At 36.4% G+C, this 15,469-nt stretch overlaps 1 protein-coding gene across 1 annotated transcript; it reads right to left on the reverse strand.

The window, feature by feature from the left end:
* Positions 1-398: 398 nt before the first annotated feature.
* OR2T12 (olfactory receptor family 2 subfamily T member 12) lies at positions 399-13,684 on the reverse strand. Its single transcript, NM_001004692.2, has 3 exons — positions 13,606-13,684; positions 11,633-11,813; positions 399-5,846 (listed from the first exon to the last, which is right to left on the reverse strand). Exon 3 carries the CDS (start codon positions 5,836-5,838, stop codon positions 4,876-4,878), a length of 963 nt encoding a protein of 320 aa, NP_001004692.1. The 5' UTR covers positions 5,839-5,846; positions 11,633-11,813; positions 13,606-13,684; the 3' UTR covers positions 399-4,875.
* Positions 13,685-15,469: the final 1,785 nt, after the last annotated feature.

Here is a 15,469-nt window from a genome sequence, read left to right on the forward strand (position 1 = left end):
TATTGACTTGGAAGAGACAAAAGGAAGACATAAAGGGTACTAGATGATCTTTGTTGTAGTTACACAGATACATACGATTTTTTACATATGTAAAAAAATTATCAGTTGTACAATTAAGATTTGCATTAACTGTATTAAATAAATCTGTATTAATGTAAATCAATTGCACATTGAAGATGAATGAATTCTTTTTTATTGTATTAGGTATTTATTTTAATTTATTAAAATTATACTTTAAGTTCTGGGTTACATGTGCAGAACGTGCGGGTTTGTTACATAGGTACACACGTGCCATGGTGGTTTGCTGCACCCATCAACCCGTCATCTACATTAGGTATTTCTCCTAATGCTGTACCTCCTGTAGCCCCCCACCCCCCAAAAGGTCCCAATGTGTGATGTTTCCCTCCCTGTGTCCATGTATTCTCATTGTTCATGAACAGAGGCCTCATAAACAGAAAAGAGGCCTCAGAATTAATGCCATACAACCATCTGTTCTTTGACAACCCTGACAAAAACAAGCAATGGGGAAAGGATTCCCTATTTAATTCCACTTATGAATGAGAACATGCGGTGTTTGGTTTTCTGTTCCTGTGTTAGTTTCCTGGGAATGATGGTCTCCAGTTTCATCCATGTCCCTGCAAAGGACATAAACTCATCCTTTCCAATGGCTGTATAGTATTTGTGGTGTATATGTGCCACAGCTACTTTAGCCAGTCTATCATTGATGGGCTTTTGGGTTGGATTCACATATTTACTATTGGGAATAACTGCAATAAACATATGTGTGCATGTGTCTTTTTAGTGGAATGATTTAAAATCCTTTGGGTATATACCCAGAAATGGGATTTCTGGGTCAAATGGCATTTCTAGTTCTAGATCCTTGAGGAATCACCACACTGTCTTCCACAATGGTTGAACTAATTTACACTCCCAAAACAACATGGTAAAAGCGTTGCTATTTCTCCGCATACGTGCCAGCGTCTGTTGTTTCCTGACTTTTTTTACTTTATTTTATTATACTTTAAGTTTTAGGGTACATGTGCACAATGTGCAGGTTTGTTACATATGTATACATGTGCCATGTTGGTGACTTTTTAATAATTGCCATTCTAACTGATGTGACATGGTATCTCACTGTGGTTTCGATTTGCATTTCTATAAGGACCAGTGATGATGAGCTTTTTTTCATATATTTCTTGGCCACATAAATGTCTTCGTTTGAGAAATGTCTGTTCATATACTTTGCCCACTTTTTGATGGGGTTGTTTTTTTTTTCTTATAAATATGTTTAAGTTCCTTGTAGATTCTTGATATTAGCCATTTGTCAGATGGATAGATTGCAAAAATTTTCTCCCATTCTCTAAGTTGCCTGTTTACTCTGATGAATCCAAAGGAAGAGAGGAAGTCAAACTGCCTCTGTTTGCAGATTACATGATTGCATATTTAGAACACCCCATCATCTCAGCTCAAAATCTCCTTAAGCTGATAAGCAACTTCAGCAAAGTCTCAGGATACAATATCAATGTGTAAAAATCACAAGCTTTCCCATACACCAATAATAGACAGAGAGCCAAATCATGAGTGAATTCCCATTCAGAATTGCTACAAAGGGAATAAAACACCTAGGAATACAACTTATAAAGGATATGAAGGACCTCTTCAAGGAGAACTACAAACCACTGCTCAAGGAAATAAGAGAGGACACAAACAAATGAAAAAATATTCCATGCTCATGGATAGGAAGAATCAATACCATGAAAAAAACCATAGTGCCCAAAGTAATTAATACATTCAGTGCTATCCCCATCAAGCTACCATAGACTTTCTTCACAGAATTAGAAAAAAATACTTTAAATTTCATATGGAATCAATAAAGAGCCCATTTAGCCAAGACAATCCTAAGCAAAAAGAACAAAGCTGGTGGCATCATGCTACCTTACTTCAAACTTTACTACAAGGCTACAGTAACCAAAACAGCATGGTACTGGTACCAAAACAGATATATAGACCAATAAACAGAACAGAGGCCTCAGAATTCATGCCATACAACCATCTCTTCTTTGACAAACCTGACAAAAACAAGCAATGGGGAAAGGATTCCCTATTTAATAAATGATGTTGGGAAAACTGGCTAGCCATATGGAGAAAACTGAAACTGGACCCCTTCCTTCAACTTTATACAAAAAATCACTCAAGATGAAGACTTAAACATAAAACATAAAACCATAAAAACCCTAGAAGAAAACCTAGGCAGTACCATTCAGGACATAGGCATGGGCAAAGACTTCATGACTAAAACACCAAAGCAATGGCAACAAAAGCCAAAATTGACAAATGGGATATAATTAAACTAAATAGCTTCTGCACAGCAGAAGATGAATAAATTCTAGTCGGAGCCACAACATTATGTTTCTTAATGACTTAAAAATTACACATTAAAGAGAATATATAGGCAGTGTAAAGGAAAGAGCCAGAATGATTGAAGATAGCAGGTAATATCCAAGATTAGTTCAAAGCCTCATCTTGATTCTGTGTTACTGGGTGCTAGAGCTTCATATGTTCGAAGTAACTCCTCATTCAAAATTTTGTTTCTACCATTCATGCTCTTGTATACTCTGTCTCTATCAGGTACTCCTTCTTTAACTTTAGAGATTCATAAGAACCATATCTTCTCATTTTCAAACACACAATGGGAAATAACTAAAAGCTTCCAGAGACAATGTATCTTCAATATAAGTGTCTGAAAGTTAACCTGTCATTTTGAAGATTTTGAAGATTTTCTATGCAAACCTTTATTAAGAAAATAAGAGTAGAAACATCTGCAAGTTACAAAAGCAATAAGAAATGAACATATAATTTCTAAAAGTATTTAAAATTTTTATTTCATATTTATTTTCATTGTGATCAGATAACTAGTCTGAAATACCACTTCTTTGAAACATGTCTATTTTTATACATATTTTGTGTTTTTATTAATGTCTTACGTTTGCTTGGAGATAATGTTCATTCCGTGGTTTTGTTGTTGTTGTTGTTTTAGTTTTCTCCTGAACATTAGGCTTAATTTTCTGGTTAGAATATTTTATCCTTACAAAATTTTAAAGGCTTAGTTTACCATTTGTAACTCAACGTGTTCTAAAATAATTTCTCTGATGGTGCATGAACCTGGTATGAGTAATGAAATTTCCACGACTACATGTACTTGTGTAATTTTCACCCATTCTAAGAGAAGATTTTTTAGATGGTATAATGACAGAATTTGTGCAGTTCTGTTCCTTTCTCACTCTAACACTGGGTAAGGAGATTAATTAACAAGAGTAGGAAACTCTTAGTCTTAAACAGATGACACTCTCTCCTGTCATCCTCAAGTCTTCCAAGGAGACAAGAGTTTACTGAATAGCCTTCTCTTAAGACATGGGCTCAGGATCTGCATGCAGTGGTTAAGGTACTATCTTAACTATATTACTGCTTTGGAACCTGAAGATCTAGATGAAGCAGGAAACTCCTTTCACTTGTTCTAGAACAGTTACCTTTTGAAATTCAGGTTGGTCTGAAATGGCGGGTTAACTTTCAGACACTTATATTGAAGATACATTGTCCCTGGAAGCTCTTAGTTATTTCCTCCTTCGTGTTAAAAACTTATATTATTTCTTAAGTGTGTTTTACATATGGGAAATATAGCCTTTATCATAAAACTCTCTAAGACAATTTGATATCCAGTCTCTGATTACAATTTGGCTTTGATAACCACTGCTTTCCTCCATCACTATCTATCTTGTGTCTTTAATAATAGTATAGTCTTCTTTTATTCTTCTGCAAACTCCAAATCTTTAAAATGTGTCCCAAATTTTTCATCAGAAATATCTCTACTTACCTATGCCTTGGGAGAAGTAAGGTAACCCAATAATGTATAAGGTTGTTGAGTCTTACTCAGCTTTGATAACTCATTGTTAGTAACTGTCAAGATTCAGCATGATCATGCAATTCAGAGTTCATATCGATGGAGGTATGTCAATAAGTCAAGGTAACCTTAAAGCACGTGTAGAAAAGAGAACTTATTTGTAGTTTAAAACAATTTTCCAATGCAATTACAATGACGCTCTTGGAAAAGATAAATATTACTTATATAAAAAATTACATGAATTTAAAAAAGTTTGCCTTAAAACACCAAATAAAAAGAGACTGGAAAAAATAAAAAAAGATTGTGACAATATAGCAGTTACATTTGAGTTGTGTACTTCCCCTTTTGTCATGCATCTATATTTTAAAATATAACTTAAAAATAATGTTATTTGTCTTTGGTGGAGTCCTCATATTTAGTTTTTAATTGTAGAGCATACACATGGGAAATAACACTCAAAATACATTATTGAACAGAAATAAACTCTTCCAGGTTAGGGTACAAGCTTTGGAGTCACTTTTTAATATTTCTGTTCTATGTGAAATTAGGAACCATATTTAACTTTCCATGTGTTAATTTCTTTTTTCAGATAGTAGGAAATTGAGTAACACTCAACAACCTTATACATTATTGGGTTACCTTACTTCTCCCAAGGCATAGGTAAGTAGAGATATTTTTGATGAAAAATTTGGGACACCTTTTAAAGATTTGGAGTTTGCAAAAGAAAAAAAGAAAACTTATATCATGGGGTTGTTGTAGGATACAAAGTAATCTATAGGTATTACTTCACTTGAAGAAAAGTACATAAATGCTCAAAAATGGTATCTGTCAATACAATTGGCTCACTTCATTCTTAAAAATATCTTATTATATCAATACACAAACTTAATTTTCTCTTCATGAATTACTAAAGGGAGAGAATTACATAGTGTTAAAATGTTAATAAATTCAGGAACTTAGACTCATCTGACACTAGATCATCTTGACCTGTGGGCCTCATTTTGCTGGTGTTTTAGGTTTACACACGTCCCCAGCCACCGTTTCAGGGCTTCCTTGACCTCACTGTTCCTCACACTGTAGATGAGGGGATTTAGTAAAGGGGTGAACATAGTATAGAAGGCTGACACAACCTTATCGTGGTTAGTGGACCTGTGGGATTTGGGTCTCATATAGGTAAAAATGCCAGCTCCATAAAAGAGTCCCACCACAGCCACATGTGAAGAGCAGGTGGCAAAGGCCTTCTTGCGGGCTTCTGTAGAGCGCATGAGCAGAACAGCAGCGAGGATGAGACCATAGGAGGACAGGATGAGGGAAAAGGGGACCAGGAGCATTAACACACAGCAGATGTACATGGCGTTTTCGAAGACTGAAGTGTCAGCACAAGCCAAACGCACCAACACGGGGGCCTCGCAGAAGAAGTGATCGATCTCGTGTGCACCGCAATATGGGAAGCTCAGGGTAGCAACAGCCTGCAGGAGGCCGTCAGCTGCACCCAGGAGCCAGGACGACATGGTCATCCTCAGGCACAGCTGCCAGCTCATGAGAGTGGGATATCGGAGTGGGTGGCAGACAGCCGCATAGCGGTCATAGGCCATGGCTGCTAAGAGGAAGCACTCTCCACCACCCAGTGTGGGGAGGAAGAAGATCTGCACACCACAGCCAGCGCGGGAGATGGCCTTATTTCCGGTCAAGTAGTCAGCCGCCATTTTGGGCACAGTGGTGGAAACCAGCATCATGTCCATGAGGGAAAGTTGGCTCAGGAGGAAGTACATGGGCCTGTGGAGCCGGTGGTCCCAGTGAATCAGGAGAATCATGAGGGCATTGCTAAACAGGGAGGTCAAAACGGTGGCCAGAAGCATCATGAAGAGGACTTGGTGGGCTCTGGTGTGGTTAAAGAGTCCTAGGAGAATAAAATCTGGGGTAGTATTTCTCATCTCCATAATTTCCCCTGGTGTGATGGTGCAAATGGAAAAATAGAGAAAGAAGAGGCTTTTATGGTCTGAATAACTGTTTGACTGCACAGTTTCTGGACATATGTACTGGATATGTTATCCCAGGTCGTGATTCAAAGCCCTGACTCCCAGTAGGCACAGCTTTTCCTGACCTGGCATTCACTTCTCTATAGCTCAACTTTTTAATGTTCTAACTGAGATCATGTACTACAAACAGGAGTATATTTACAGATCAAAATGAATAAAAATTTTTTTTTTAGTTTTGTTATTTTTTTAATTATACTTTAAGTTTTAGGGTACATGTGCACAATGTGCAGGTTAGTTACATATGTATACATGTGACATGCTGGTGCGCTGCACCCACTAACTCCTCATCTAGCATTAGGTGTATCTCCCAGTGCTATCCCTCCCCCCTCCCCCAACCCCACAACAGTCCCGAGAGTGTGATGTTCCCCTTCCTGTGTCCATGTGTTCTCATTGTTCAGTTCCCACCTATGAGTGAGAATACCCGGTGTTTGGTTTTTTGTCCTTGCAATAGTTTACTGAGAATGATGATTTCCAATTTCATCCATGTCTCTACAAAGGACATGAACTCATCCTTTTTTATGGCTGCATAGTATTCCATGGTGTATATGTGCCACATTTTCTTAATCCAGTCTATCATTGTTGGACATTTGGGTTGGTTCCAAGTCTTTGCTATTGTGAATAGTGCCGCAATAAACATATGTGTGCATGTTTCTTTATAGCACCATGATTTATAGACCTTTGGGTATATACCCAGTAATGGGATGGCTGGGTCAAATGGTATTTCTAGTTCTAGATCCCTGAGGAATTGCCACACTAACTTCCACAATGGTTGAACGAGTTTACAGCCCCACCAACAGTGTAAAAGTGTTCCTATTTCTCCACATCCTCTCCAGCACCTGTTGTTTCCTGACTTTTTAATGATTGCCATTCTAACTGGTGTGAGATGATATCTCATTGTGGTTTTGATTTGCATTTCTCTGATGGCCAGTGATGGTGAGCATTTTTTCATGTGTTTTTTGGCTGCATAAATGTCTTCTTTTGAGAAGTGTCTGTTCATGTCCTTCGCCCACTTTTTGATGGGGTTGTTTGTTTTTTCTCGTAAATTTGTTTGAGTTCATTGTAGATTCTGGATATTAGCCCTTTGTCAGATGAGCAGGTTGCGAAAATTTTCTCCCATTTTGTGGGTTGCCTGTCACTCTGATGGTAGTTTCTTTTGCTGTGCAGAAGCTCTTTAGTTTACTTAGATCCCATTTGTCAATTTTGTCTTTTGTTGCCATTGCTTTTGGTGTTTTAGACATGAAGTCCTTGCCCGTGCCTATGTCCTCAATGGTAACGCCTAGGTTTTCTTCTAGGGTTTTTATGGTTTTAGGTCTAACGTTTAAGTCTTTAATCCATCTTGAATTGATTTTTGTATAAGGTGTAAGGAAGGGATCCAGCTTCAGCTTTCTACATATGGCTAGCCAGTTTTCCCAGCACCATTTATTAAATAGGGAATCCTCTCCCCATTGCTTGTTTTTCTCAGGTTGGTCAAAGATCAGATAGTTGTAGATATGCAGCGTTATTTCTGAGGGCTCTGTTCTGTTCCATTGATCTATATCTCTGTTTTGGTACCAGTACCTTGCTGTTTTGGTTACTGTAGCCTTGTAGTATAGTTTGAAGTCAGGTAGCGTGATGCCTCCAGCTTTGTTCTTTTCGCTTAGGATTGACTTGGTGATGTGGGCTCTTTTTTGGTTCCATATGAACTTTAAAGTAGTTTTTTCCAATTCTGTGAAGAAAGTCATTGGTACCTTGATGGGGATGGCATTGAATCTATAAATTACCTTGGGCAGTATGGCCATTTTCACGATATTGATTCTTCCTACCCATGAGCATGGAATGTTCTTCCATTTGTTTGTAACCTCTTTTATTTCATTGAGCAGTGGTTTGCAGTTCTCCTTAAAGAGGTCCTTCACGTCCCTTGTAACTTGGATTCCTAGGTATTTTATTCTCTTTGAAGCAATTGTGAATGGGAGTTTACTCATGATTTGGCTCTCTGTCTGTTATTGGTGTATAAGAATGCTTGTGATTTTTGTACATTGATTTTGTATCCTGAGACTTTGCTGAAGTTGCTTATCAGCTTAAGGAGATTTTGGGCTGAGACAATGGGGTTTTCTAGATATACAATCATGTCATCCGCAAACAGGGACAATTTGACTTCCTCTTTTCCTAATTGAATACCCTTTATTTCCTTGTCCTGCCTAATTGCCCTGGCCAGAACTTCCAACACTATGTTGAATAGGAGTGGTGAGAGAGGGCATCCCTGTCTTGTGCCAGTTTTCAAAGGGAATGCTTCCAGTTTTTGCCCATTCAGTATGATATTGGCTGTGGGTTTGTCATAGATAGCTCTTATTATTTTGAGATATGTCCCATCAATACCTAATTTATTGAGAGTTTTTAGCGTGAAGCGTTGTTGAAATTTGTCAAAGGCCTTTTCTGCATCTATTGACATAATCATGTGGTTTTTGTCTTTGGCTCTGTTTATATGCTGGATTACATTTATTGATTTGCTTATATTGAACCAGCCTTGCATCCCAGCGATGAAGCCCACTTGATCATGGTGGATAAGCTTTTTGATGAGTTGCTGGATTTGGTTTGCCAGTATTTTATTGAGGATTTTTGCATCAATGTTCATCAAGGGTATTGGTCTAAAATTCTCTTTTTTGGTTGTGTCTCTGCCCGGCTTTGGTATCAGGATGATGCTGGCCTCATAAAATGAGTTAGGGAGGATTCCCTCTTTTTCTGTTGATTGGAATAGTTTCAGAAGGAATGGTACAAGTTCCTCCTTGTACCTCTGGTAGAATTTGCCTGTGAATCCTTCTGGTCCTGGACTCTTTTTGGTGGGTAAGCTATTGATTATTGCCACAATTTCAGCTCCTGTTATTGGTCTATTCAGAGATTCAACTTCTTCCTGGTTTAGTCTTGGGAGGGTGTATGTGTCGAGGAATTTATCCATTTCTTCTAGATTTTCTAGTTTATTTGCGTAGAGGTGTTTGTAGTATTCTCTGATGGTAGTTTGTATTTCTGTGGGATCGGTGGTGATATCCCCTTTATCATTTTTTATTGCGTCTATTTGATTCTTCTCTCTTTTTTTCTTTATTAGTCATGCTAGCGGTCTATCAATTTTGTTGATCCTTTCAAAAAACCAGCTCCTGGATTCATTAATTTTTTGAAGGGTTTTTTGTGCCTCTATTTCCTTCAGTTCTGCTCTGATTTTAGTTATTTCTTGCCTTCTGCTAGCTTTTGAATTTTCAACCCAGAATTTCATATCTAGCCAAACTAAGCTTCATAAGTGAAGGAGAAATAAAATACTTTACAGACAAGCAAATGCTGACAGATTTTGTCACCACCAGGCCTGCCCTAAAAGAGCTCCTGAAGGAAGCACTAAACATGGAAAGGAACAACGGGTACCAGCCACCACAAAATCATGCCAAATTGTAAAGACCATCAAGGCTAGGAGGAAACTGCATCAACTAACGAGCAAAATAACCAGCTAACATCATAATGACAGGATCAAATTCACACATAACAATATTAACTTTAAATGTAAATGGGCTAAATGCTCCAATTAAAAGACACAGACTGGCACATTGGATAAAGAGTCAAGACCCATCAGTGTGCTGTGTTCAGGAAACCCGTCTCACGTGCAGAGACACACATAGGCTCAAAATAAAAGGATGGAGGAAGATCTACCAAGCAAATGGAAAACAAAAAAAGGCAGGGGTTGCAATCCTAGTCTCTGATAAAACAGACTTTAAACCAACAAAGATCAAAAGAGACAAAGAAGGCCATCACATAATGGTAAAGGGATGAATTCAACAAGAAGAGCTAACTATCCTAAATATATATGCACCCAATACAGGAGCATCCAGATTCATAAAGCAAATCCTGAGTGACCTACAAACAGACTTAGACTCCCACACAATAATAATGGAAGACTTCAACACCCACTGTCAACATTAGACAGATCAACGAGACAGAAATTTAACAAGGATACCCAGGAATTGAACTCAGCTCTGCACCAAGCGGACCTAATAGACATCTACAGAACTCTCCACCCCAAATCAACAGAATATACATTTTTTTCAGCACCACACCACACCTATTCCAAAATTGACCACATAGTTGGAAGTAAAGCTCTCCTCCGCAAATCTAAAAGAACAGAAATTATAACAAACTGTCTCTCAGACCACGGTGCAATCAAACTAGAACGCAGGATTAAGAAACTCACTCAAAACCGCCCAACTACATGGAAACTGAACAACCTGCTCCTGAATGACTACTGGGTACATAACGAAATGAAGGCAGAAATAAAGATGTTCTTTGAAACCAACAAGAACAAAGACACAATATACCAGGATCTCTGGGACACATTCAAAGCAGTATGTAGAGGGAAATTAATAGCATGTGCACATTGTGCACATGTACCCTAAAACTTAAAGTATAATAATAATAAAATTAAAAAAATAGAAAAACGATGTCTAATATGTGATCGAGTTTTTCCAAAAAGAATATGTCTCCAAAGCAAACAGATAGTTCCTATAACATCAGAAGTCTTTTACAGATAAATTGATAGAGAAATTCAGCTTCAGTCAGCATGTGACCAGCACAATACTAGAAATGGAGATTAAATTTGTGTCTTCGATCACATGATAGTAGGCAAATCATTTTTGTCAATCATCATGAAGAGAGAAACAGGTCTCAACCTCCTCCCTTTCTGGTTTTAAAACAAATCAAGAACTTGGATAAACCTGATTATTGGTATCTGAGATCTAGGTTCAGTCAATGTCTTGAGAATGAGAAATGGGCATTTCTGGGATCTTTAGTGTTGTGGGTTTCCCACCTCAGGGTGCCATTGTGTTAACCTCAAGAAGAGGTGGGCTTTTAAGGAAAATTGGGAAAATACATTGTATTGCCTCAATAATTTCCAGTGCTTATGAGCGGAATTCACTTCAAGAAAATAACTCATCTCAACTTACTTTATGGAACCACCTATTTTGACCATCATACCATAGCTGTCCCAGTTATCTGGATCTTGTCAACTGTTGTAATACACAATTTATCCAAATAAAACGGTATTACCTCAGATTTCCACCATAATTTGTCTTTAAGTGAGTCTTGCTATGAGCTTCCTTGCAAGAAGGAAGCTATGTGGTCAAGTTCGCTTCTCCCTATGCTTCTTTTTCAGTTGGCAAAGTGTTCTTTACATTTGGGAAACACTACTTCCAAGTCACTAAGTTGAGATAAAATGGTGATTAATTCTACTTGATCACTTAGACATTTCTACCATATGTTTTACATTCCATTGAATGATGCAGCATTAAAACAAAATTGATTACAAATGTAAATCTACATATCCCTCTGAATTGTCTCCATCACATTAGTTTAGGCTGAATTTATATAAATGCACTCTTATTTGTGTTGTATTTTTTCACCTCCCTTCATTGCCTCAAAATTCCCTTCATACCCACATGCTAAAATTGACTTCATTGATTTCATCCTGTCACAGAGAATGTGGCAAGATATATCACAAATTTATAACAGTTTATAAGTGATAAAATTGAAAATACTGAGCACTAGATTGCCCTATGCCTTCTATATTAAGATCCATGTGAACATTTATTCAATAAAATTCTATAAAGAAAAATAATGTTGTTTCTAACGAGAAATTTGACATTCCTTCTAAGTAAGTAAGATACATATGAGAAATTGTGCTTACCTTTAGGCACCAGGAATATGAGACCCAATCCTGAAGCTCAGTGTAAGTTATCCAGGATATAAACAATCTGAAAATGCAGTGAAGATAACATTGGGATTCCAAGAGGTATTTGTATATATTCCTATAAAAATGGATCTGTGGTGAAATATCATTGCAACTCCAAGTTATCCAGGACTCTTCACTGCCAAAAAAAGCAGAACATTTTGAGTTTCAATACTGTACTAAAGGTATTCATGTAATGAGGTAAAATATTTTGAACTCTGCATTAGACGTTGCCTACCAAGTATTTTTCCCTTAGTTGAAATTTTATGCTTCTAATTTTATTTATTTTATCTAATCTACATTGTTTCTGTTGTAATAAATTCCGTCATTTTGTAAAAAGATGGTGCATACGTTCAGTTTTTTTAAATGTCTTTTTTATGTATTAACCTCATCATGTCTGCAAGAGGAGTCATCAGATTTCATTACACTGTGATACTGTGCACATGCGCAGAGCAATATATTGTAACACAAAATTCTTGAAAATCATGGTCAGATTTTATGACACTGTGATACTGTGCACAGGCCAGAGCAATAGTAACACAGAAACCATGAAAATCTGGATGAGAAATTGAGAAGGCACTGAGTGAGATGATGGAAAGGAGACATTGAGAGGCCAGAACTTGATAAAAAAAAAAAAAAGAAGTGAAGCCTTATGTGAAATAATGTCAGACAGCATGTGTAATCCACTGTGTAGTCCACCGAGGTTGCTAAAATGACGTTACCCTTTTGCAGTAGGAATGATCAGGAAACAAAACAAAACAAAGCAACAAATCTCTCATATTGGCAATAATGATCATAGCAATTTTATTTGTAATAATAAAATGCAACCTGCATATGCACTAAAAATGGAATTTATAAGCATAACTACAAGAAGTAGCATTGATGAGTTTCACAAATAGAATGTTGAATGAACAAAGTAGATCACAGGGAATGACTTCATGAATCCTATTATGAGTAATTTAAACATATATACATAAATCTATTATAAAGCACAGCAACACTGCAATAATGATTATCTACAAAATTGGCTGAAAGTTTACATGATCAGAGAGAGTTAAGCTGTGTTTCGAAAGCACTGGTAATATTTTAAAGCATTTTACAAAATGTATATCCAACATATTTGTTGTAAATAAACATTTTTGTATATTCCAAGTTTAAAAACATATTTAAATAATAGGTGTAAATGTCTTGGAGGAGCACATGACAAATGGAAACATTCATTAATACAGGTTGAGGATTCTTTATCCAAAATGCTTGGGACCAGATGTGTTGCAGATTGCAGATTTTTTAACACTTTGAAATATTTGCATATGTATAAGGAGATGTCCTGAGAATGGAACCCAAAGGAGAGACAAAATTAACTTATATTCTATGTATACCTTATACACATAGCCTGAATGTAATTTTATGCCATATTTTAAAATAATTTTGTGTAAGGGAGAAAGTCTGTGTACACTGAACCATCAGAAAGCAAGAGTGACACAGTCTCATGTCAGTACTCTAAATGGTTCTGATTTTGGATATTCGATTTTTGGTTTAGGGATTCTCATCCTGCATGAGCTACAATTATTTAAAGAAAAGAGAATGTGGCCAAAACTTTCAAATCATGTCCTGTTCTCATCTGCTACGTTTCTCCTCTGACTCCCATTCACTATCAATATCTTTTTCAACTCTAGAATGCCAGGACATATCAAAACAAAAATTATAGATTTTATCCCATCTTTCACATTGATAAGCTGAGGCAGGTAACCACTCCTTCTGCTTCAGGTTGTACCACATTTCTCAAAGTCATATTGTACAGATAAAATAGAATAAAATTCATAAAATTCTCAGACCAAAAATGATTAAGAAATGAAATTAATCATCACCACGTTCAGCAGAAATTTCGGCACTAGCTTATACACAGTCTTGCTTGTGCTTGGTTAACTTACCTCTTAGTACTGATCTGAATAGTGTATATTTTCAATGAGATTGTAGTTTCCTAAAAAGGCAAAAACATATAAATATCTTACATGTTTTTATGTTTCCATCACCAGGAAAAAAGCACCTAATATACAGTTGGAATCTTTATGGTTATTGACAAATGAATGAAAAGACAAAAACTTAAATTTTTAGCCCTTGTGGAATCCATTCCCTTGTCTTTAATTATGAAAGTTTGTATTACCTTCTATCTCCTCTCCTAGGACATGAAGCCGAATTAGCTTCCTTTTCTTGAAAATACTACAAAGATAATTATGTCCCTTTCCCTGTAGGTTAGTGTGAACTTTCTGAAACTTCTCCCTCTCTCTCACATGATGAGGTGAGACACATCAAGTGCTTTCTGTATAACTGGCACTGCAGTTAAAAAGTGTTTGTAAGCTCACATATTACCCACAACCATTGTGTATGTCAGATACCTCTATTAGACACATGTATATATTATTATATATTATCTTTAATTATATCCTCATTTTTTTGCATTATGAAACTAAGGGCAGAAGTTTATGTAATTTGAAGTGTCAGAGCTAGAGAATGGCAGTCAGGGCGTTCAGAGCTAATATCATTCCTCTTCTATGGCTTCTCTTCACTGTTCCTTCTGCTCCATTGTCAAAGCAAGATATGCTTGGGTAGAATTGGCACTTTTAACATCTTGAGGTTCCCTACGTAATTCTAATTCTATTTGTATGTTCCTTTATATGTTTTCTATCCCTTAAAACTAGTGTATATATTTTCCGTAAAAATTGTTATTATAAAATAGAAATGTTCATGGGTATATTTTGTTGCTTGAGTGTATGGAATATTGTGTGTATTATTTCTTCTATTTCTTTTTGTTAATATATAGAAATCTATTAATTGTTGCTTATAGACCATGAATCCAAGAATGCTATGTTTATTTTTGTATTCCTTATTGCAGAGAAAAATATTATATACAATGGTTGAAACAACTTTAGATCTCTTTCCAATTTTATCTATTTTCCATTCTTCATTGCTTAAAATATATATTATTGAAATGTTGAAGAATAATATTGACTACCTTAAGCCTTTAGCAATTATGGTTCTCCATTAGATATAGTGTTTGTCTGAGGCTTAGGTAGACAGATTAAGCACATTAACAAAATCCCATTTTATCTTTTACCAATGCTTTGTTCAATAAATGTTCAGTGAATTGTTTTGAATGATATCCTGCTTTTACTGATATAATTGTGTTGTTTTCCTTAAATTAATCATAGCCTGAATTACAATGATAGCTAATTTGTATCATTAGAAATATTTCAGTGGAAGATAATGTATAAAACAAATTAAACACCAATGTACCCATCACCAGCTTAAAATAAAATATTACAGGCCATGCACGGATCCTCATGCCTGTAATCTCAGCACTTTGAGAGGCCGAGGTGGGCAGATCACTTGAGGTCAGGAGTTTGATACTAGCCTGGCCAATATGGTGAAACCCTGTCACGACAGAAAATACAAAAATTTGCTGGTGTGGTGGCACAGGCCTGTAATCCCAGCTACTTGAGAGGCTAAGGCAGGAGAATCACTTCAACTTGAGAGGTGGACGTTGCAATGAGTTGAGATCACGCCATGGCATTCCAGCCTGGGTCACTGAGCAAGACACCATCTCAAAAATAAAATATAAAATATAAAAATAAAATAATAAATGAAATATTAGAAATTAGTAGAAGTCTGTGTGCACATAACCTGAATGTATGTTATTTGTTCTTTGCCTCTAGAGATAACAGAAACCTATATTTTTTGTGCTCTCACTTCTTTCTTTCTTTTTGAGGGGGAGTAAATGTTTTATTCTTTCTACTA

This window comes from Homo sapiens, chromosome 1 (genome assembly GCF_000001405.40).
Source record: "Homo sapiens chromosome 1, GRCh38.p14 Primary Assembly".
Taxonomy (NCBI): Eukaryota; Metazoa; Chordata; class Mammalia; order Primates; family Hominidae; genus Homo; species Homo sapiens.

Coding starts and splice junctions, on each gene's coding strand:
- OR2T12 (NM_001004692.2), bottom strand. CDS start 5,838: ATGGAGATGAGAAATACTACCCCAGATTTTATTCTCCTAGGACTCTTT.